This window comes from Homo sapiens, chromosome 6 (genome assembly GCF_000001405.40).
Source record: "Homo sapiens chromosome 6, GRCh38.p14 Primary Assembly".
Lineage (NCBI taxonomy): Eukaryota > Metazoa > Chordata > Mammalia > Primates > Hominidae > Homo > Homo sapiens.
In genome coordinates this window covers 47,805,908-47,829,305 of record NC_000006.12, presented here as the reverse complement: position 1 = coordinate 47,829,305, position 23,398 = coordinate 47,805,908, and the positions used below count along the sequence as shown (strand labels likewise).

The following is a 23,398-nucleotide window of genomic DNA, read 5'->3' as shown; positions in this document are numbered from 1 at the left end:
CAAAACATCCAATTAACCTCCAGTAGATAAAGCAGGTGGAAAAGCCCTGAACCATGAAGTCTACTGCAGCTGTATTACTTACTTTCTGTGCTACCTGGGATGTCTTTGGATGGCAGGGGGCTCTTTTAGTGTCAACACCTCCAGGAATGAAACATGGATAGGCTGACTGACCTTCCTATGGCACATGAGTGCTTTGGACATTAACTGATTTCAAATTTTGGTGTTAGCAGGAGTTCCCTGGAAGCACAGAATGAGCATTTTTCACTCTGGATTATCTCAACCTAATTAAACCAGCCAGAAAAAAAAATTTAACTATTATATCATAATGACCACTGACTACTAATATGCATACTCGGAACAAGGAATCAGGTGGCCAGATGAAGAAAAAAAAAATTCACCTTTCCTTCTTCCTAGTGTCATGGATCCCAAAGTCAATACTTAGTACATCTCTTAGGTTGATACTTAGGTTGCAATTGACTCTTTTGTTTTGCCCTGGCTCACTGCTCTAGGACTGGTTGATCTTCCTCTCATCAGTAAGACTGTTTCAGAAGAGCAGGTCTTGTGCTTGCACACCTAGATATGTCAACTCCTGCAGAAGCTCTGTTGTTACTTGGTGCTGCCTTTCCACTCTGGCTTTATAGCTTGTATTTTTTTAACCATTATCATTAATAGTCATTTGCCTAGAACTTTGCAGATTCATATATTATTTGACCACTAGAAAATATTTTAAGAATTTATTGTTAATGTCCATTTTCAAATAAGCAAACCAAAGCTCAAAGAGATCAAATTGTTTTCCTGAGGCCATGTTGTCAAAGGTATAAAAAGTGATTCCTTAACCCTGGTGGTCTGATTCCAGGACCAGCTCTCTTTTTGCTATATCATGGTGCCTCCACATATTTAATAATATGTTTTAAATTTACACCTTCCTTAATTACGAGAGTGGATATAATAAACAGTGGGATCATGGTGCTTTACTCTGTGTCTCTCCTCTTTTAATCTGTCTGGAGACATTTATTTTTAATCACCGACAATGAATGACTGCTTATTATATAATTTTATGGTCCAGGTCTAAAACCTACTGAATTGCCTTTGGTAATTATACCATGTGGAAAAAAATCTATCACATTTGCTTACCTTGACCTACTTTAACGAAGTGATAACACTCATTATTTGCAGCCGTACATCCAAATGTTCCCTATCTCCATGCAAGTTTGTCTCAGCCAGAATAAATGCCCAGTTAATCAGAGGTGTTTAGTTTGCCTTGCTAATGCTCTAATAATGCTGGTGCTTAATTCTCTGTAGCTATTACACAACTATCCTTCTTCCCATAATATCTTTGAAAATAATTGCATCTGTATTTTAATTTTTGCATATTTTTTTTTTTTTACTCAGGGAATAATATACCAAACATGTCATCTAGAAAATAATACATTGACCTTGACAAGGAATGTGAGATAGATGGTAAAGAGCCACTCTTCCACCTCACCATTTGGTCCTCTTCCCAGCTATATCATGGATACCTTCACTGAGGAATCCCTGAATGGTTCCACAGAGCCCCTCCCATCACTGTTGGGCCATGAACTGGAGCTTCCAAAACAGCCTGGGGATGACTGCATATCACAATGAGCACTGGCAGGGTTTTCCACGTGTAAAGAAGCAATGGACTATGATGGTAGTTCACAGTTTGTCCTAAGAAAACTAAATCTTTAGATTTTCCTTTCCTACCTGAAAATATACAAAACATGATATAAATGCTAAGATAAGCACTAGACCTTGCCTCTGAAAAATCCTGAAAACAATATTAACACTAATGGACTCTCCACTATCAAGTAACTCTGGATTAAGGCAGTCTCCCTTCCCTCCCAGTTCTTTGGTTCCCCAGTGTACACCAACCAGAACAAGCCAGGAGTTGGGGGAATATCCTATTTGTCAATGCAATATTCATGGTGCAGCTAAAAAAAATTGCCCTGGACATAAATATCAACATTCTGATTCCAGCTCTGTAATGAACTTCAAACCTCTGGCAAGATATATATCTTTTCTGTGTCTTATTTGCTAAATTAAAAAAAAATGCTTAACCTAATTTTTTTTGAAAGGCATTGGGAAGTTTAAGCCAATAGAGGTGAAAATAATCTACAAAGCACAAAACAATTTTTCTATGGAAATAGAAAATATTACTAAACAAAGTTCTTAGCCTAATGACTCTGATTGTGTATGTTCTGTTGTATTTTTGTTTCCCTTGTTAGCATAAGAAAATAGGAGTACAACATTATTGATTAATAATATTTTCTACTTCCGTAGAAAAAAAATTGTTTTGTACCTTTTAGATGATAGAAGGTACAAAACAACTTTTGTACCTTTTAGATTATTCTCTCCTCTATTGTCTTAGATAAACTTCCCAGTGCCTTTCAAATCAAAAAGTGGAATACATTAAAGCCACCAGAGGATGCTCATGTCATCAGATATTGTTAATACCCCTTCTCCAACTGCATAGCATGAGGGTTGGGAACTCAGATTCAAGAGTCATTCAGACCTGGGAGAAAATCTTGCGCCTGCTATGACCTTTACCAAGTTATTTTCTATTTCTGAGCTTCAATTTCTTCATCTGAAAATGGGGTAATATGTTCATCTGTCAATCTCACCTCATAGGATTCTTATAAGGATTAAATGAAGTAATGCCCATAAAAAGCATTTAACAGAAAACCTGACACATAGTGAGTGCCTGGCAAATGTGGTAAATACTGTCTCTTAACATTTCTTCCTCACAATGTAAATAGACTCTCCTGGAAATAAAGAATTCCAGACTCAATTAAGTTTGGAAGATACTGCTTTAAATTAGTTCTTAGGTGAAGAACCATTAATGTATTCCCGTATGGGACAATTCTTCAAAAAAGAGAGATGATATCTAACACTTGCCTAAAACGTTTGGAGATTAGAACACTTTATTTTTGCAGTAGTTTTGCAGGACTAGGTTTCTGGGGATCATGCTTTGGGAAATCTTGTTCTCACAAATAAGATATTCATAATATTTTCACGAAATCCCAGGATCTCATTCGTCTCAAAATAATGGGGAGAGATGGGGAAGGAAAGAGGTGGATGAGTGTCAACATGAACCACAATATGCTATGGGTTGATCACTATTGAGGCTGGATGATGGATACATGGGAGTTCATCGTAGGATTCTTTCTCTTTTGTACATGTTCAAAAAATTCCATTAAAATTTTTTAAAAGATATTAAACAAACCAGAAATATATATATATGTATACACACATATATGTATTATATATACCTACATACATGCTGTATCTTAATACATACACCAAACTCTAAGAGAAATGGCTAACCTCCCGAGGTCTACAGACCCACTCGAGCAAAAGTAAATCATCTGCTTCTTTCACTAACTTGGCAATGAAGCTCTTCTCATACTTCGGAGCCTAATGAGGTCAACTGTGGTGAATGGCAGTCAAAGGAGAACCCAACTGGGTCATCCAGAGGCAAGTATCATCTCTACTCATGTCAACCTTCTTCCCTTCTTCCCCATAAAGCCTTTTACAGAAAAAATAGGGGAATAGAAATTATATTTTTAACTTAATTTTTTTCTGTCATATTCCTGCCAGATGTGCTACTACAGTCAAAATCAACCAAGGTTTTGACAGGAGGAAAAACAGAATCAGTTCTTGAATAACAGAGACTTGAATCACCAAACATTCAATGGACGTGGTACAACAGTAGTTTTGACTTGAAGACTCATGTTCATCTGTCATTTTAACTGAAGCTGTCTTTTGGGAGTGCCAAGGTTTCTAGCTGCCAGGGAATCCTAAGGACTTGCAATTGGCCTAGAACCCATTTCACTTGCCAAAGTACCTAACTTATTACATTAAGAAAATTCTCTCTCCTGATAACAACAAAATCACCAATCAACTATCACTTTTTGGCTTTTTAGACAAAAATTCTCCCTAACTTCTCTCTTGTTCTAAATGTTATTTTAACCATACCTCACTACTTTTTATTATGCCCAATTAAAGGTACTTGCATATTTGCATCGTGTCTTTCATGGTTTAAACTCACTTTGGCACATTAACAAAATCCTATTATTGTTTATTTAATCTTTAGAAAGTTCACAGATAACTAACCTACCTGTCACCAAGATTTGTGTTTATGCATTAGGCATTTCCCAACTGGACCATTTCACAGACTCCTGGCTGGCCCTTCTCATTCATTCATTATGTGTTTACAATTCACTCAAAATTTACAAGATGCTTAAGTTTGTTTCTATTCTCTAAATTTCCCCTTTCCACTCTCCCCCTGGCCTGGCATAATGACTTTCTTCTTTATGTAAGAGTTACCTTTAAAATTAAGGTAGAGTCTTCTTACTTTGTTTCTGTTGCATAGTTTCCAACAAAGTAAAAAGAAAGAAGGGAAAAAGCTATTTTATTGAATTATGGGGATAATTTCAATCGCATTTGACAAAAAAAAAAAAATTGATTCAGGTTGTCTTAGCTTAACCTCTTATTCTTCAAAGACTTTTGAGAGGAAGCATCCCGAGGAGCTTTAAGTAGGAAAAAAACACATACACAAGGAAGTAATTCAATTTCAAGAACTGGACAGTTTCTGCCTACATGGAACTCACATCTGGGAACCTGCAGTTGGGCTGGGGCAGTAACCTACATATTAACTGTAGTAAGAATATTTGGGGAATAGAAAGCCCACACTCTCCTCACTGAAACTGGAGCTGGCCTGGAAAAACTTGAGAGGTGCTCAGATGCTGTTGTAAAGGCATCAGGGACAAACCCTACTGATGATGCTTCTTATCAGTGAAAGACCCCCCTGCACTGCTTTGCCAGTCATAAAAACAGATTTTCACCAATCCACACTCACCTCTGCCCAGTACATCATCTGCAATAGAACAAATCAAATTACAGATGGGGAGTGTAGCTGCTCCAGTCAGAGACACAGCCTGATCTCCTTGAATCAGGCTTTTCAGGCCAGCTTTCACAAGCCCCAGTTCAGAAGAAAGTGAAGTCCTTACTGACGAGACCGAGGTGTGCACTGCAGGATGTTTAAAGCGTGGGTTTCTGGCACTCTTTAGTTATAACTCTGCCACTATACCAGAATGAGATAACTCAGTTAAGATACTTGGATACTCCTAGGGTGCATCATTGTTTTGATATTCCTTGTGAATTATTTTTTCCTGACAGGGTAAGTGGAGTGGAGGCGAGAAGTCAGAAAAATAACATTTGTAAGCTAATTTCTCTGCATATGCCAGACGCCGTGTAAGCACTTCAGATGCACTCTTCACAACCAGAACATTTGTTATTCCCACTGTAGAGAAGAAAAAATTGAGTTTTAGGGTGAGGCACACAGCCAGTAAGTGGAGAAAGTCCAAAACTAAATTCAGAGCCTAAACATACCACACACACACACCAAAAGAACCAGGATTGCGATGGACATTGTCACTGAGATGGCTTCTCCCCGAACCCACAGAGTCCTCTTTGCAGGTGCATCCTGCCCTGTTCCCTTCCTGGATGTTCTAAAGGCCACAATTCTAGTTCAGGCTCCTTTCTTACCTATAGAATCTCCAAAGTCTCCCAATACATATCCTGGTCTTCTACTCCTAAGCATTGCCTAGAATGAAATGCAAACTCCAAAGACTAACCTGTAAGGCCTTGCAGGATCTTCTCCCTACTCACCTGTACTGCCTAATTTTCTCCCATATACCCTTCCTTTTCATTTTTTAAGACTTTTTTTTTGCCAGAAGAGAGCGTGAACACAGTCCCGCACTACCACAAATTGTGCAGTAGAGTTTACCATATTTGAAGGTATCTCAGGGATCAGCACATCTGTCCTGAAATAGATAAGGCTTGCCATGGGAAAACAATCTTAGGATTTGTGGCGTCTCCCTGCCAGGTACGTATCTTCTCCTACATACCCTTCAATCCATCTGATATAAACTTTTGTCTGTCTTCCAGGTATGACTCAGCTGGGGCTTCTGGTTATGTCACTCCACCTCCTTCTATGCCTGAAAACTTAATCTGTTCTTTAAGCTTTTGCTTAAATAGTGCTTCCTCCTTGAAGCCAAACTATCTCTCCAACCCCTGACTCTGCCTTTTCTGTTTAAGTATAAGCTCCTTGAGGGTTAAATTTGTGTCTCATTCAACATCAATATGCAATCACATACTGGGCCACGGCCACATAACTAACCAGAGTCAGAATTCAGTTCTGATGACTCTCTTAGCTATGTTCTTTTCAACAAGTATGTGGCTTGGGGCTTTGCTGAGATCACAGCAGGATTTTATGCTATTTTCTTGTGTTACTCAGAGCAACCAAGGCAAACTGTATCCTCAGAGGTGTGTCCTTTGAAAACAGGAGAGGAAAGTCTTATCCCACTTTTGGATTATCTAGAACAGATTAGCTTGTGGAGTTGTGAAGACTGAAGATGTCGTTTGGAGGACTTGAACAACAGAAGTGTGGGAGGATAAAAACAATCAACCAAACTAACATTTTTTCACGGTATAAAAAAACCTGTAATGATGTTAATTCATGAACAAATTTTTATTAGCTCTCATGGCCAATCTGCCTACAGAACAGACTCCATCATGGAACTACACTGCCCTTCTTGCCAGGCTCCACAACACTCTCATTTGGCAAGACAATTTCAAATACACCCTGTTACATACCAGCCTCTTCATCTCAAGAAATACAAATTCCAACCAACTACTCTGGATGTGCCTTTGAGTTTCTATGGAACTAAACTGGGCACCCATTTAGTTGGTGCTGTCATGTTTCATTTCAGCGTAAAAATTGGGAAATTTATTGAGCAAGAATCTGAATTAATCTAGGACAAAAGATAGGAAGAGTACAGTTTTGGGTGTAAGGAAAATATTCTCTATCTCATGTCAATAGCCTAAGTCATATTTTTTTCAATAAGGAAAGGCATTTCCTTTCTTCCTGCTAGCCACCATCCACATTCAATGAATAACAAACTCTTGTCCATGTTTATTTCCAAACTACTTCCAAAATCTAATTACCCTCTCTCTGCAGCCCAGGTACCAGCATTCAGACCCTTAACAGCCCTCATATGGATGTATTTTCCCTGGATTTCTTCTTAAAACTATCCTTCAATGCTTCTCAAACTGTGGAGTGTATAAGAGTCACCTGGAATAAGAATCACCTGCATTTTTTTTTTTTTTTTTTTGAGACAGAGTCTCACTGTCACCCAGGCTGGAGGGCAGCGGCGCCATCTCAGCTTGCTGCAACCTTCACCTTCTGGGTTCAAGCGATTCTCCTGCCTCAGTCTCCCAAGTAGGTGGGACTATAGGCACGTGCCACCGCGCCCAGCTAATTTTTATATTTTTAGTAGAGAGGGGTTTTGCCATATTGGCCAGGCTGCTCTTGAACTCCTGACCACTTGATCTGCCCACCTTGGCCTCCCAAAGTGCTGGGATTACAGGTATGAGCCACCATGCCTGGCCTCACCTGCATTTCTTAAATGCAGATTTGTAGCAACTATTCCACAGACAGTCGGATGTATGAGGTGTGAGTGGGGCCCAATGATTTACATTTTAACCAAGCATCCCATGAAACTCTAATATAGGTACTTCAAATGCTGCATTTTGATGAGAACAAGGACAACATTGGCCTGAAACTATAGGATTTAAAATAAAAATCTTAAAACAATTTACATATACTAAAATTGCTCACATATTTTTCCCACAGTCAACTGGAAACAGTGAAAATTATTGACCATGATGACATAAATGTTCAAAGACCTTAGTGAATTGAATCCTTTCCGTCTCTTGCCCAACTTCTCAGAGCCTCCAGAATAATACTGTGCCAAGACATTCAGTGTGCTCTTCCTCACAAAGCTCTCTCTGGTTTTGAAGACCCTCCTAGAATTTTTTTCTGACCAACTTCCATCGGGGATTGCCTCTTCATGTCCTTGGGTTCCATCCCCTCCCACACCCATGTGGCTTAGGAGAGCCCTCCCTGTGCAGTCTCTATCATAGCATTCCCCACAAGGTAGTGAGACTATCTACAGTTGACCCTTGAACAACACAGTTTTGAATTGCACAGATTCACTTATATATGTGAATTTTTAAAGAAACAAAAGTTACACCAAGTGTGCCTGCCTCACCTGCCTCCCCTTCCACTTCCTCCATCACTTCTGCCTCTGCCACCCCTGATGCAGCAAGGCCAGCTCCTCCTCTACCTCCTCATCCTACTCAACGTGAAGACAATAAGGATAAAAGCTTTATGATGATCCACTTCCACTTAATGAACCGTAAATATATTTTCTCTTTCTTATGATTTTCTTAATGTTTTCTCTAGCTTACTTTATTATAAGAATACAGTATATAATACATATAACATATAAAATATGTGTTTATCGACTGTTTCTGTTCTTGGTAAGGCTTCCGGTCAACAGTAGGCCATTAATAGTTAAGTTCTGGGAGAGTCCAAAGTTATAGGCAGGTTTTCAACTACATGGCTGATCAGTGCCCTTAACCCCGACATTGTTCAAGGGTCGACTGTACTTTCTTATTTGTTTTTCCACTACACCATGACCTATTTTCATATAAGGAGCATGCCTTATTTTTTGCCTAGCTTCCTATATAGGAAACACTCAATAAATAACGTCTATTGGAATTTATCCTCAGATGCTATCACACCCCCATACAACTGGTTCCCTTATCCGAAAAGCCAAGTTAGGATTTGATGCACCTGGTCTAGGACCTCCCGACTCCCTTAAAAGGAATAGAAATCAGCTCTAATTTCTCATCTCAAGTGTAAATCAAGCAAGGAAATAGAATTATTGTAAGAGACCTAGAGTGGGATTTTAAATCAAGCGAGATGAAAGAAGAAATCTACATACAGAATAAATCGGTCAACCATATAGCAAAGTACTAAGAGTCACAGGCTTTAGAGACAGCCTGAGAAAGCTGGAATTCCAGCTTTTCCATTGACAGGCTGTGTGATTTTGAGCAGGCTCTATAAATTCTCTGTGCCTCAGTTTCCTAATAGGGGACAAAGAATAACCCCTAAGGCTGTTAAAACAAGTAAAAAAGTAGAGCAGACTTCAGCAAAGTTTTTCCATAAAGGGCCAGAAAGTTCCTATTTTAGGATTTGCAAAACTGACAGTCTCTCTCTCTCTCTCTCTCTCTCTCTCTCTCTATTCAAAAGGAGAAGCAGCTATAGACAATATGTAAACAAGTGGGCATGGTTGTGTTCCATTAAAACTTTATTTACAAAAACAGGCATTGAATAGAGCAACTGGAGTGTATTGAGGCTGAGCAGTGGGCCAGATTTGGCCAGAGGGCTGTAGTATACTGACTTTTACATAAAAACAATCCTTGGCATATGTTAAACTTAATAATATTGTAGCTTTTATTATTTTGCTTGGAGGAATTTGCTTCCCAGCAAATAACTCAAGTTTCAACCTTTTATACAAACTTTAATCATATTCTCACTGTAATGAGAACACATTTTGCCTATTTGTATTAATTGCAATCAATACAGAATGAGCTGACATCTAAGACTCACTACCTCAGAAGATTTCCTCCCATTCCTCATTTATGTTTGCATTAGAAATAAAACCAGCAGGGTATTTTCTGGAATATCGCTTCCCCTATAATTTCAACCATTCTGAAGTGCAGAACTTAATTTGAAAAACCTGTAAGACACTATAATGGGAAACACGCCAATAACAGCAGCAGCCTGACTAATGTGAATGGTTTTGTTCATTTGAAAATAATTTATATTGAATGATGAACTGTTAATAATTGTATTAAATTAAATTAAATTAAATTCTGAGAACACTGAATGAAACCGAGGCACTAAACTACTGAATGTGGAATAAATTACTCCCTTTCTCCTCTCTAGTATCACATTTTTACTTATACTGTTTTATATATATATATATATATATTTCTACTTATACGGTAATATATTTTTTATATATATATATATATTCCTAATTTTCAGAATTACTTAGAGATCTCTGACCAGCAAGTCATGGCATTGATGCCACTACCCAGTAAATTTAGGGTGTCCTGGGGTGAGTTCAACAGCCACATATTCTTGTGATTCTTATTGTGCTGCTAAATTACAAGTACAGTTACTTAACCACTTCTGATATTTGCTCCAGGAGCTAAAAATAAATTTTTTTGACAAACAAATTTAAAGAAGCCACACCTGCCTCCTTTTTGTACGAACTTTTGCAAGCATATTTTTTTGGCAGGGTTTGTCTAGAAGTTGTTGCTCTCCTCTGCCCACACAGTCCTCAGCTTATTAGATCTTATAAATGTCTGTCTTCATTTGCAGGGCTTGGACCAGCAGCAGCTGCTGCAACCCAGAATGAGACAGGAAATTCTCTTGCTTATTGATGGTCTCAGACACTCACATTTCCTCCACTCTCCCTCTCCCTTCCACCATATTTGCTCAGCCTCAATACACTCCAGTTGCTCTAACCCTTGTCATGAACACCTTTGAGCCAGTCATTTCTTACAGTGAAGTCTACATAATTTCCCAGCTCCCAGCTGACCTGACTGCTGATTTTCCATGCCTGCCGAGGTATCTCATCTAACAATACCGAAAATAGCTCAAAATAGGTGGGTAGGGTCATCTCTCACCTTGGAACACCTTCCCATGCTTTGAAGAGATATCATCTCTGTGGAGTGTGTGGTTTCATCACCATCCTGAGCTAAGAGCCTCATCTGTGCCCCATACACAGGCTCAACTGCAGATTGAGATTATCCTATGGATGAATGCCCTGCCAAATCCCCACTGGCAGTGAGTTTCTGCAAAACACTAGCTTGGATGTGTTTGTACAATGTTCAGGCCCAGTCCTATATTTAGAGAAGAGTGCCTGATTCTCCACTTTCTGGAAATGTCGTGAGTAACTTGCTGCTTCAGTGCTATTATTCTTCTTGACTTCCAATCATTTAAGTCATTTTATCAGCCTGGTCTCACACATGGCTTTGCTTCTACATGGATGGAATGTCAAAATGTGTAGATTCAGATCTATTCTGAGCAGTTTGAATAAATCCCACATGCTTGCTGACAAATTTAGCTCATTTTTCAAATGGATTAGGTGCTTTTTCCCCCTCTAACTAATTAGATTTTGTTCATTTTATTCATTTGGATGTGTATATATGTGGATCGGGCGGCTATTGGAAGTGAATACCACTTTCAAAGTAGAAAATACTTAGATAAGTGTAACTCTTGGTATTAAGGAAAATACCCTTCTTTCTGAACAAATTAGCTCTAAGTAGTCAATCCTAATATAGCTGTATGCGAAGAAATGCTGACTCACCCAACAGCTTCATTTTCCCCTTCCCTGGTTTCTTGAAGAGGTGAATGGGCCTTTGTCCCTAGTGTTTCACTGGAGGCTGTCATCTCAGAATTCTCCCCACAAGATAGCTGATGCCATAATCTCCCTTTGTCCTGAGGGTGAAACATACCTTAGAGAGTGTCCCGCTCACAGATCCCCAGTATCCAGGGATACTTTCAAGACTCCAAGTCCTTGCTCTTACACAACTGCCCATTGATTAGGGTACTATTTCTCAGGACACCTCTGACTGTGACCACATCCAATGGGAAAAGACTTAAAAACACATTAGTCTTAACAGAATCATTGACTTAATCAAATTCAATGGGCAGGAAAGTCATCTTGTTAAATTACAGATTCTGATTCAGTAGTAGGTCAGGCATGGGGCTCAAGTTCTTTTTTCGTAACCAGCTCTCAGGAGATACCCAAGCTCTGGGTCTGCAGACTACATTTTGGGTAACAAGGATTTAAACCACCCTATATGCAACAACATCATACACAGACATTAACGAGTTTAAACTCCTAGACAAGCCTCCAAAATTGAATATTTTCTACTTTAAATACACTTTTATGTATTTAAAGTCAGAACTAGAGGTCTTGATAACTGAAAATTTCTGTAACTGGCATGAACCTCAATGAGAATTTCTGTTTCTGCCTGTATTCCAGAAAAAATCTACAGTAAGAAGTTGTGCTCCCAACTCAGCAAACTCTCTAGTGGAAGGCTGAATATCTCAACCCTTTCATGAAAGCTAAATAGGCAACGTGCTCTGACCCCCTTCTTCATCTCCAGTATGTCTCCATGATGACTCCCACCGGAGTGGAGTAAATCTCTATTCTCCTTGGTCTCATGCCACCTCCAATCATGGCTCAAAAGGGCAAATATGTCTCATAGCATCAGTTCCTCACACTACAAGTTTCCTGTGGCAGAGCTACCAGTTGCTATTTCCACAGAATCTTAGTGTGTTTCTCACTTTCTCAAACAGCTTGAACATCTCCCAGATCTATGGTGACCAGACATATTGAGAAATGTCCTCCTACCTCCTCAAGAACAAGATTCACACCTATCACTACAAAACCCGCTTGGAATAATCACCTATTTCCTCTAATAGTGATGATAACAATAGTTTCCTTTTAATTTATATTTTCAATGGGCCAGAACTGTCCTGAGAATCTTACAGGTGATACATGAATCACAACAAATCCTAATGAGATGAGACTGTCCCTATTCCACAATGAGGACAACCAGCGACACTGAGAGATCAAGTAATTTGCCTTCACAGCTGGTAAATGACGGCACCTGAGTTTGAGATCAAGTCTGCTAATTCTGAAACTGTACTCTGAACTTCTATGCTGTGTCTCCAATGCTCTAGGTATTGTTTGGAAGAAAATGTTGTAATCCACACTGCCCCAAATCACCTGGCCAGCTCCATTTTGCTATATCCTGAGGAAGAAAACTGACTCAAGAAATTTTCCTTTTCTCAAACCAAACATTCAAACACCCAAAGATAACAGGAGAACATTGGCTTGGCAATGATTGAATTCTGCTCTAGAAGACCTTGCAAAAGCCCCATATTTCTCTCCTCATCAGGGGAACAGAGACATATGCAAATCAATTCCCAGGACCTCTCCTGATATTTTGCAGTTTCTCTCATCAAAGTAAACCTATAGGTCTTCATCTAAAAACTATTACAATTAAAGTATTTACAATATACAGAAAGGTCAAAACTTTGCCAAAGCCCTCAAATCCCTAAGGAACTAAAAACACATCCTCCCCATCTTTTGTATCTTCCAAACATTGAGGACAGTGTATATGGCAGGTGCTTAAAATTGCCTGAATGCAAAGCTGAATGAGTGAATGCAGTATTTGCCTATGTAGATGTGGCCAATGTTAAAACCAAAATAAAACAAAACCAACAAAGCACGTGTATACCTGAAAGAATTTTTTCTCTCACATATGTTTTAAGTAATAGTTGCCTGTCTATTTCAGACCTCGTGGTGCATGTGAGGGTATATTTGTCAGGCTAAGGAAAGAGGGTTCAAAGTAATTGAGAAAAGCAGTTTCAATGATAATGGTTTGATTGAAATTTCTTAAAGTACTTTTAGAATATATCCCATGCAGTCCCATAACCTGGTGAACAAATATGCTGAAGGTTAAATCATTTAAAAATCATAGAGGGTCACAGTGGTGACCAGGAATTTTTGCAATATGGCATCCACTAATAGCATGAGGTTTTGAGCAAAGTCTGTACTGAGTGAGGGCATGCCCTTAAATGTGTTTTCTTAGCAAATTCCCTGTGGGTCTTATATTTCTTGCCTTTTGCCCCATTTTAACAGAATGGTCAACCCTTTGACCTCCTGGACAGTGAGGTCTGGCTCCCTCTCTATAAAATTAGTTATTGAACCAAAGACTGATGCTATCTCTGCTAACCTTTTTACTTTAATGACATATATCTTCATTCTATATATAATGTTCTCTGATGTTTTGGCAGTCTTTAAGACATTTCATTATGCCAGCATCATTGATCCCTGCAACAGCCTACTCATCATCTAGCTCTGACTCTTCCTCTTTCCCTCTCCTTTCCTTTGTCTTTTCTCCCTCATTTGCACTAACTTAATGGAGAAGCATTTTTATTCGTAGATTTGTGGCTCAGGTTGCTAAAGGTCATTAAAGGCAGTGGTGGGAAATTAAATGAGATAGATTTTTGTAGTTACCATTTCAGTTCTAAATAAGCATAATGCTTGATTCTTTCAGGGGTGCAAACCTGAAATTACATTTCTAAAAGTCAAAAACTTGGATTTTACTGTGAAATATATTCTTATTGCTTCATTCCACTTAGAAAAACTTAAAATATATTTAGACTTTATGATAATTCTTGAAATCCAACTTTTCAAGTTAGTAGGGCATTTCTACTCTCAATTTCCATTTTACAAACTTATTTACTCATTTATTTGTTAACAAGATAGGCCATGTTTAAATGAAAGTCCAGGGATCTAGGATTTTATATTCTTGGTTTAATACTCTAGCTCATGTTTCCATATCTCCCCCAAGTCATTACTTGTTTGATTTCAACCATTAACTTTCCAAGTGTCCTTTATGCATCAGGCACTGGGCCAGTTATGAGAACCCAAAGGAGAACAGGCATAGCTACAAGCTCAAAGATTTTGCAGTCTTTCTCATAACCCTCCCAGACATAAAATGCAATATATCTTTTCTAAGCTAAAATTGAATTTGTAGATGTGTTTGAGGTCTGTATAGAGTTTTCTCAAATCATTGGAAGCCACTGGGGAAGCAAAACCCACTCAGGAAGTTATCCACTGACAGTCTGGTGTACATGAGCCAAACTTCAATGACTCCTTGTTTTTTCTTCCTCCATTCTACCCCAAGGACCACATCTCTATCAATTCTGGTGCCTCCCAGCTCTCAGATTATTACCCAAAACAATGTAGAACCAAAGCATGGAGGACTTAAATCATATTTTTCAAATTGATAACAGATATTAACTCTAGGATCTCCTCCAAAGCTCCGACAATTTAAACTCTTTTTTTCCTTTTCACTATGCTAATTTTTCTTATACATGCATTTATAAAGCCATGTTAAAGACCATATTCTAGTTAAACAGTTAAATGAGTCTATTTTTAAACAGTTAAACTATCTGTCTTCAGGGACGTTTGTACAATGTTAATGTTAAATTCCACCTTCTAGACAAATCTACACCAACCTGAGTGTTCTTTTCTCCTTTTCTTACCTCCACCGCCATCTGTCATCCACTTCCACAATCATCCCCCCACACAAAAGAAGAAGAAGGAAAAAAAAAACCTCCTTCACTTCACTTTCTTCAGGTCATTTAAAACCAGCAATTTCTCTTTTAGCATTTTTGTTCTACCTGCTTCACTCTGCAACTCAATAATCTATAACTATATCGTTATAATGATATAATGATATAATCTATATATCATTCAGTATGACTTTAGATTATTTTTAACTACCGGTTTTGAATATCTTTACCTATGTTGCAAATGCTCCGCATTCAACATATTCTAAATATAATTCACTCTCTCCCCCATCCCATTCACTTTCCTGTATTTTTCCCCTCGGTAGACACCGTTATCTACATTATTTCCTAAGCAGATGGCCCCAAGTTATCCTCAACTCTTCTTCATCCATGTAATCAATTACCACTTTTTTGTCACTTTTTAAAATATTTTAAACCTAAATTTTCATCTTCATTTTTAATGCCATTTTTTAATTCAGGTCCTCATAAGTTGTAATTTTGTTATAAAGCCTCTTAACTGGTCTGCCAACCTCTAATCTTGATTCCCCACTCTCATGCAGACAATCCACCTTCCACACTGCCACCAGACTGGTCTTTCTTCCCCAGCCTAAAATCATGAATGGTCTCCCTATCACCGTCATGGTAAAATCCATATAACAGCATAAACAACAAAGCCTTTGGAGTCTGATTTGGCTCCTGCCAGACTACCACTCTCAGCTCCACTTCTGACCACCACCACTCGCCTTAATAATAATAAGAGCAGTTGTTGGTACCCAGGGGTGCTTCTCTATCACCGGCATATTGCTAAGTGACTTATGTGGATATTATTTCATAAGTCTCACAATGACCCTGTGATACTATTGTTATTATCCTCATGTTTCAAACTTGCCAAAGGGCACAGAGGAGGGGTGCAAACCTGACTGTGCTTTACAGCTGTGTCCACCTCTATCTGACGTGCCACGTGCTCTCACACCTCTATAATGTACAAGTCTGCTAAAAAGTTCCTTGCCTCTCTATTCTAATGACAATTCTGCCTCTTCTTTTCTCCAGACTTTGATATGCAGGCATAAGCCCCAAGCAGAGTTGTTGCTTGTTGTTGTTGTTGTTGTTGTTGTTGTTGTTGTTGTTGTTGTTGTTTTAATCATAGAGCATGTTTTCCAACATCTATTTGGCATTTATCTTAAACCAGTGACACACATCAAGTCATTCCTCATCCCACACCCCTGACTGACAAAGAACAAAGACAAAGGAACTGAAGGTTCCATGTACTGAGGTTGAGCCTTGGAGGAGGGTATGATTCTCTACAAACCTTCAAGTGGAAGGAGTGGAGAGATTATCAATGGTGTGAGAGGGGCCACCCTCTTCCCCTATTCGCTGTTCTTGCTGGCAGTTACCAGAAAGACAGAATCACAATTGATGAGCAAGGCTTAAGTTCATAGCAGAAGGGGAGGTAGATGGAATAGAGAAGCATAGAGAACACCTGTCTAGTCATTGAATTAAAAGAACTGCAATGTAGATGGCCCTGCTTATCAGATTAGGAGAAAAGATAATAGACAATGAGTAGAAAACCTATTTGGACATAGTATCTACGTGCCTTCTCCTTTCAGAAGCTTTTAAAAGGCAGGAATCTGTCTTTGAAATCACTCCATCTCATTCATATCTACATCTCTTTACCTGTCTGCCTCAAAAGGTGTTTGTTTAAAAAAAGGATGAACAAAAGAAATAACAAGCTAACAAATAGAAGAAACAACACTTACGAATAGCTATCTTCACTAAATTCACTTCTTAAGCAATTACAACTCATAATGCCCTGTTACATCCACTGTTTTAGTAAGTAGAACTTAATGAGAAAATCCACGCAGGTAAAATTATCATCAGCGGAAATTACTGTTGTCTTCAAATTTGGAGATACAGGAGAGTTTTCCATTGAGTGATTTAAGGCAAAACTGATTTCCCCAGAGGACTCCTTTGTGGAATCACTGCCATCAGAGTACAAACCTCCTCCAGCATGAAAAATGGCTGTGAGAACCAAAGTACCTACCAAAGAGCCATGGCCCAACATACATGATTGTCCACCTGAATGAGCCCCAGAAACTGCCTCCCTAACCCGACATTAAGAAACAATAATGACAATGATGTAATAAAATTAAATAACCCCCTAATATAAAACTTCTCAACATTTTTCTCACTATCTCACATTCAATTCTGTTTGGCATGACAATAGGTTTTAAAGTACGAGAAAAGAAAGTTCCAGGGACGCTCATCCTGATAATATTCCTTAAATTAGTATCCTGTAATCTAGTTTCCATTTAGCCATTGGAATTTCCCAGCAACCCCTGGCTTGAGGAAAACTGTACAAAATATAAAAATATAATATAAAGACAAAAGTGTGGCCACAATCAAATGTTTACAGCAGTGAAGAGGCAAATAAGTGAATACGAGTGTCCATAGTGATGCTGTATCCATCTTCATACCTCTTCATGAATTTCCAGCACAGCAGAAGACTTCCTGACTGTGGTTACGGTGTGCAGCCTAGATATAGGAGAAGAAAAATGCAATTTAATATCTACATATACACACACATAAATACATATGTACATATACATACATATGTATATGTCAAACGACTACTATGAGGATTATGTGCACAAATCTTGAATTAGCAACAGACAGAAAATAATAATTCAATTTGAAATATTCAAAGTCAAGGAATTATTTGGGCAGAGTTTTCCAAAAACAAGCCACTCATTTACAGCACATTTCGTATGCCATCATGAGTTTCCTGTTTTCCAGAACAAACTTAATTGCACACCTACCTGCACTATATATGTAGGCCTTGTGATTCACCTACTGAAGGAATGTTCTTTATGAAGACAGCATTGCAAGCCAAGGTGGTCAGGGGAGGTTTGATTATGATAGCAATGCCAGAGTTTGCAGCTTTGTTCTCCCTTGTTATCTTCACTCAGTACCAGGAATGCAAATGACTCCATCCTTCACTGCATACCCCCAATCAAATGTTCGAACCCCCAGTGCCTTTTGAACATTTCTTCTCCATTTGAGATAGGCCTAGCATCTGCAGCCTCTTTTCCCTGTCACTGCCCATAGGTGGCCTCACTGGTCTCTGTGTAGGCAAAGGCCTATGACTCCATGAGCTGTACTGCCATTGTCTTCCTTTCTCAGCCTCTGGTTCGTTAGCTTTCAACAATGTACAAGAGAGTCATCTGGGAGAGGTAAACAATTAAACAACGGAAGCTCAAGACCAATCCAGACAAAGCCAAATCTCTATAGTTGGGGCCCAGGCAGCAGTCATTTTTCAAAATTCCCCAGGTGTCTCCATTACACAGCCAGGGTGGAGCAGTGCTGTTTACAAAATATGGGAGACTACATCTGGATACCCAGGTGTAGGAAAGAATAACATTCCAGAAAGAGCTCTTGGCCACATTTGTTTCCTTTGGTTCACCAACTTCTACCAAAATCTCAGAGGATTCAATTCAGGAGGAAAAAATGAGTTTAACTTGTAATAGACTGTTAAAATTACCCAAAATTTATTTCCACAATCCCATATTCAATACATTAGCTTTATTATTTGATTTCAAAATATTTCCCAAGAGGGTGTCCCCTTATAAGCAAAAACATTTCAGGGCTCAGAAAAGAAAAGAATAAGGATATTGATTAATCCAGTTTAATTCACTTGTTCTGGTTTGTGCAATAATTCTAAACTAGCTTCACATCACTTAACCTTGCTCTGCAGACCTGCACATTACTCACTTGCATAACTTCTTAATAACAACAAAGAGAAATGAGGTTTCTTTTTGGCTTCTTTGTAAAGATAAAAAGAAACCTCTGGTGGCTACCATCCACCCGTCTGCTCTTCTCTGAAGCAGCCCCTTCTAAAATCTACGACTCAATATCTCTTCAGCATTCCTTCCACAAAGAGGCTTCAACCTCTAGCACCTAAGGGCTCCTCACTGCTTCAGCTCTACCGCCTGCTTTTTCCCCGAAAGCTGACCCTCTAGAGAAAAGAAATAGCCCTGTCCTCCTCCAGCAGAGCAATTGCTATATTTCGTATAAACGGCTAATAGGAACCAGTGAACCGAGCTGTCTCTTGCCTGACTGATTTTCCCAAAGGTCTGTGGCCCTAAGTCACTTTCTCCCACATAAATTTCCCTCTTCCCATTGTTGAGTATTGAATATTTATGGGCTGCTCACAGTTGTGAGTGAATGTACAGAACACAGAGGCAGTCTGAGGCAAAATTACGAGGCACGTGAAATTTGCTTGCAGTCATTCCTGTCAAACTCCCATCTCCTTCAGATGAAGAAGTGTGCCGTTACTTTCTCCCACAACTGCTCTATTAAAATTATTCTCTCTATCTGCATTTATAACAAAATATCAATAGCCAGTGAGGACATAGTGTTATTACTTCAGAAAGAGATGCTTTTTAGCATTTGGATTTAACTGTTCAATTCAACAGCAAAGGCAGTAACCACCAAAAAATATGAAAGCACTACTAACAATTGTCCCTTAGATCTTTTCACACATCAATTTTGCTTAATTCTTACAACTTCAGGAGATGGGTATTGTTACTGTTTATTCCAATTCTAGGCTCTATGTAGTTAATTTGTTCAAAGATATAGAGCTATTGTAAACGTATTGTAAACAACTGAACATTAAATACTGGTCTTCTATCTTCAAATTGTGTGTGTCTTCCCCTATACCACAGCAATAATGATAATACCACCTTTTATTTGTGCCTTTTTGTCATCTTTTCATTTGACCCGTGGTGAGGAACCTAAAGTCCAAAATATTTGTCACTTGCTCAGGCACAATGAAAGAACAAGACAAAACCCACATCTTCTCATAGCTAGTTCTACTTTTTTGTCTACTGTCCCTTACTTATTCAAGGGAAGAAGTATTAAGAAATATCTAGAAAATCAAGTAAATAAGAACAAAAAGCACTGAGACCAGGGGCCATCTCAACACCCCTCACCTCAGACCATGAATTCAGGTGCCTCTTCCACTTTTTACTGCTAATACTGACCATGAGTGGACACAGAAGACCACCAATAACCCCCAAGTCTTTACTCACCCTGAGCCTTTTGGGTCTTTAGGAAAAATGGTACTGGATTCCCAAACTCTTTTCACTGTGTAGCACAAACAGTATCAACCAAGGAGGATACATTTTGAAACCCAGTAGACTTGAATTTGAATTTCTCCTCTGCTACTTTCTGGCTGTTTAAACATGGGCAGCTTACTTAACTTTAACCTTACTTGAACCTCAATTTCTTCTTCTGACAAAGAAAAAGAATAACCCAAGACTCTTGTGAAATAAAATAAAAGAAATCTGGCACAGAGCAGAAATGTCATCTCCCTTCTCCCCTTCCTTCCTCTGCCCGCCCAACTTTTATGCCCTTAGCTAGTGGTAGTGATGTGCCAGACAAGAGAACCATTCTATTGTGAGATCAAAGCCATGTGAAACAGTACTCTTGGAATAAAATGGATTTGGTCCCAGATATGCAATGTACGAGCCATGCATAAATAGTGGTTGTTGCTCAAATGGACACATCTCTGTATCTTAGTTGCTCCACGATCAAAAAAGAATCACTTCTCACTATCTATCCATGTCATACAACCTCTACATAGCTGATTACTTGATTTCAGGAATTTTGATAAACAGAAAATAAAGTCCTTCCTACACTACTCCTAGGCGATGAGCTTTAACCCTAAGAAGACAGCACATCTGAGTACCTTGAACCCTGCCGGATTTTGAAACAAAGAGAGTGTAATTCATTTCCAGCTTCTGAAGTTTTACCTGAAGCCTTCCAGAGACTTCTTCTTGGTTGCTTTCAAACCACCAGTTTGGCAACAGGCAAATTTGTAATCAATAACTTGGTAAATGATGGGATTGTACATCGCTGCAGATTTTGCAAGTAGGGTTGGCACCACAGAGAGCTGTATGGGAATGGAGTCTGGCCTTCCAAAAGCTGACCACACAGACACCACTGCATAAGGAATCCAGGCAATCAGGAATCCAGCACAAATCAACATCGCTACCTGATGAGGGAAAGCAACAGAGAAAAGAATCAAGATGACTGATAAAGGACATGAGTCTGAAACGATGGGTATGGAGAAGGATCAGGTCACCTCTCACAGCCAAGAAAGTCTGTCATTGTTTTCATTTACTTTGTACATAGGAATCATTTCATATGGACTTCTGAGAAGTTCAGCCAAAAGAAGTGATTACAATTTTTTATCCCATTTACCACATCCTATCTAGTATCCACTCTAGAATTTGAATGTACCCAAAGACCCAAAATATAACCCTCAAATAGCTGTCAGATTATGACTCCATGGAGCAGGAAATCATAATATTTCTGGACTTCTCAACCCACATTCACTTAAAAACTCGATGGAAAATATATTCACCTTGATGAAATTTTAAATCATCCATATTCACCTCAGGAAACAGAAATTCTGCCCTAGTTTGAAATTCTAATTTGCATGTTCAGAAATTTCTATTAAATGTTATTTCTTTTAACTCAAATTTTTGTCAGGTGTGAGACTCAGGTACTGGAAATTCACTAGGTACATAATGTAAAATAAGTCATTGAGATTCAGCCAAAGTGGCATAGTTGTATGGAACAAGACTTTTTCAGAAAACACTTTTCACTCTCACAAAATTATAATCACCTTCGGAGCCTCTTTATTTTCAGACCAAAGAATAATTAGCGATAGGGTTTTAAATACCCTCAGAAGTCTCTTGCCATCTGCAATTCAGTCCCTTTAATAATGTAGTCCTAATTAGTGCTGTGTAACTACCCGCCTGACCCCTATGCATCATCTCACTTCAATTCAACAAACTCTTTTTAGCAAGTGCTTTGTGTAAGACCCTATGCCTAGGGCTGTGGGGAATACCAGTAAAACCTAGAGCCTGAGTTGTATCCCTCTAGAATACAAATAACTACAGTACAAGGCTGAATATTATTTAAGTGGCAGCTCAGAGGAGGACACATATACATCCTATGGGGCAAATTGGGGCGTTTCTTTTTTGAGATGAAGTTTCGCTCTTGTTGCCCAGGCTGGAATGCAGTGGCGCAATCTTGGTTCACTGCAACCTCTGCCTGCCAGGTTCAAGCGATTCTCCTGCCTCAGCCTCCCAAGTAGCTGGGATTACAGGTGCACACCACCATGCCTGGCTAATTTTTGTATTTTTGTAGAGACAGGGTTTCACCATGTTGGCCAGGCTGGTCTCGAACTCCCGACCTTAGGTGATCCACCCACCTCGGCTTCCCAAAGTGCTGGGATTACAGGCATGAGCCATCGCGCCTGGCCTACTGAGGAGAGTTACAAAGAGGACGTGCACCTTGGCAAGTAGAAATAAAGAAATAGTGGTGAAACAAAGTAAAGGCATAGACAGGAATGTGAGAGGTCTGTATAGGAACCAGTGAGCAATTCACTGTGGTAGGAGAAAGCAACAAAGGGAAATGAGGCAGGAAAGAAAGATTCAGGGTTTTGTATGGCATTATTGAGCTTGCACTTAATTCTGTATTCTTTGAGACACTAGTAGGTTTTTGAGCAGGAAATATGATGAGAGCGCTGCTTAGGAGGATTAGCCTGTAGAGTAAAATGGCGTAGAAAAAAATAGAAGGTAGAAAGATCATTGTTTATTTATTCAATCAACAAGTATTACTGAGCATCTTCCACATGTTTTGTGTGAAGGATAAAGCAATAAACAAAGCAGACACATCCCTGCCCATGTACAATTTCTACTCTTAGCATGCTTGGTTAGGCAAGAGTCTAAAGAAGAAATAAGAAATTAGAGTATTGAGACTGACAAATGTAATCAAAACTTTGGTTTTTATTTAAAACTTGTGCTATTTCAGGCCCTAATTGAGAAAGCGTACACTAACTTCAAAGTATCCTTACACAATGTTATCTACTAGGATATTCCTTCTGTAAAATAAATTTGAAAACTGTATTCAAATCTGTCTTCTGCGTAGTAAGACACCTATTTGTTTTTTGGGGGGGTTGTTTGTTTGTTCGTTTGTTCACCTTTGTTTCCACCTTCCCAGTGTATGTCTTCTACCTTAGCATCACCAGCACCCCTCAATCTGCTAGGCTGCTTTATGAAGTTGACATCATGGGCATCACATGACCCAAGTCTGACCAAGCAGAGGACTACACATTCCTGGCTACAATAATAGGAATAGAGAGCAGCGCATGACTCAAAAGATCTTGATCAGACCCACCTTGGGGATTTTATAAAGGAGTTCCAGGAAAATTGGACTTTCCTATAATCT

At 38.9% G+C, this 23,398-nt stretch overlaps 1 protein-coding gene and 1 pseudogene across 9 annotated transcripts in view; both read right to left on the bottom strand.

Annotated features, from left to right (window-relative positions):
• Nucleotides 1-2,924: 2,924 nt before the first annotated feature.
• OPN5 (opsin 5) overlaps nt 2,925-23,398 on the bottom strand; it is a 44,350-nt gene continuing 23,876 nt past the window's right edge. For 6 of the 9 annotated variants that reach the window (XM_017010416.2, XM_017010410.2, XM_017010413.2 and 3 more), the window contains 4 exons: nt 20,911-21,152; nt 17,575-17,632; nt 11,313-11,443; nt 2,925-5,323 (listed from right to left, as the gene is read on the bottom strand). In XM_017010416.2, coding sequence (XP_016865905.1) covers nt 5,284-5,323; nt 11,313-11,443; nt 17,575-17,632; nt 20,911-21,152 — 471 coding nt within the window. In that variant the 3' untranslated portion in view covers nt 2,925-5,283. The remainder of the gene's footprint in view (nt 5,324-11,312; nt 11,444-17,574; nt 17,633-20,910; nt 21,153-23,398) is intronic. The other 3 variants (NR_033806.2, NM_181744.4, XM_017010411.2) reach the window with 1 other exon arrangement.
• RNU1-105P (RNA, U1 small nuclear 105, pseudogene) lies at nt 5,756-5,916 on the bottom strand (annotated as a pseudogene).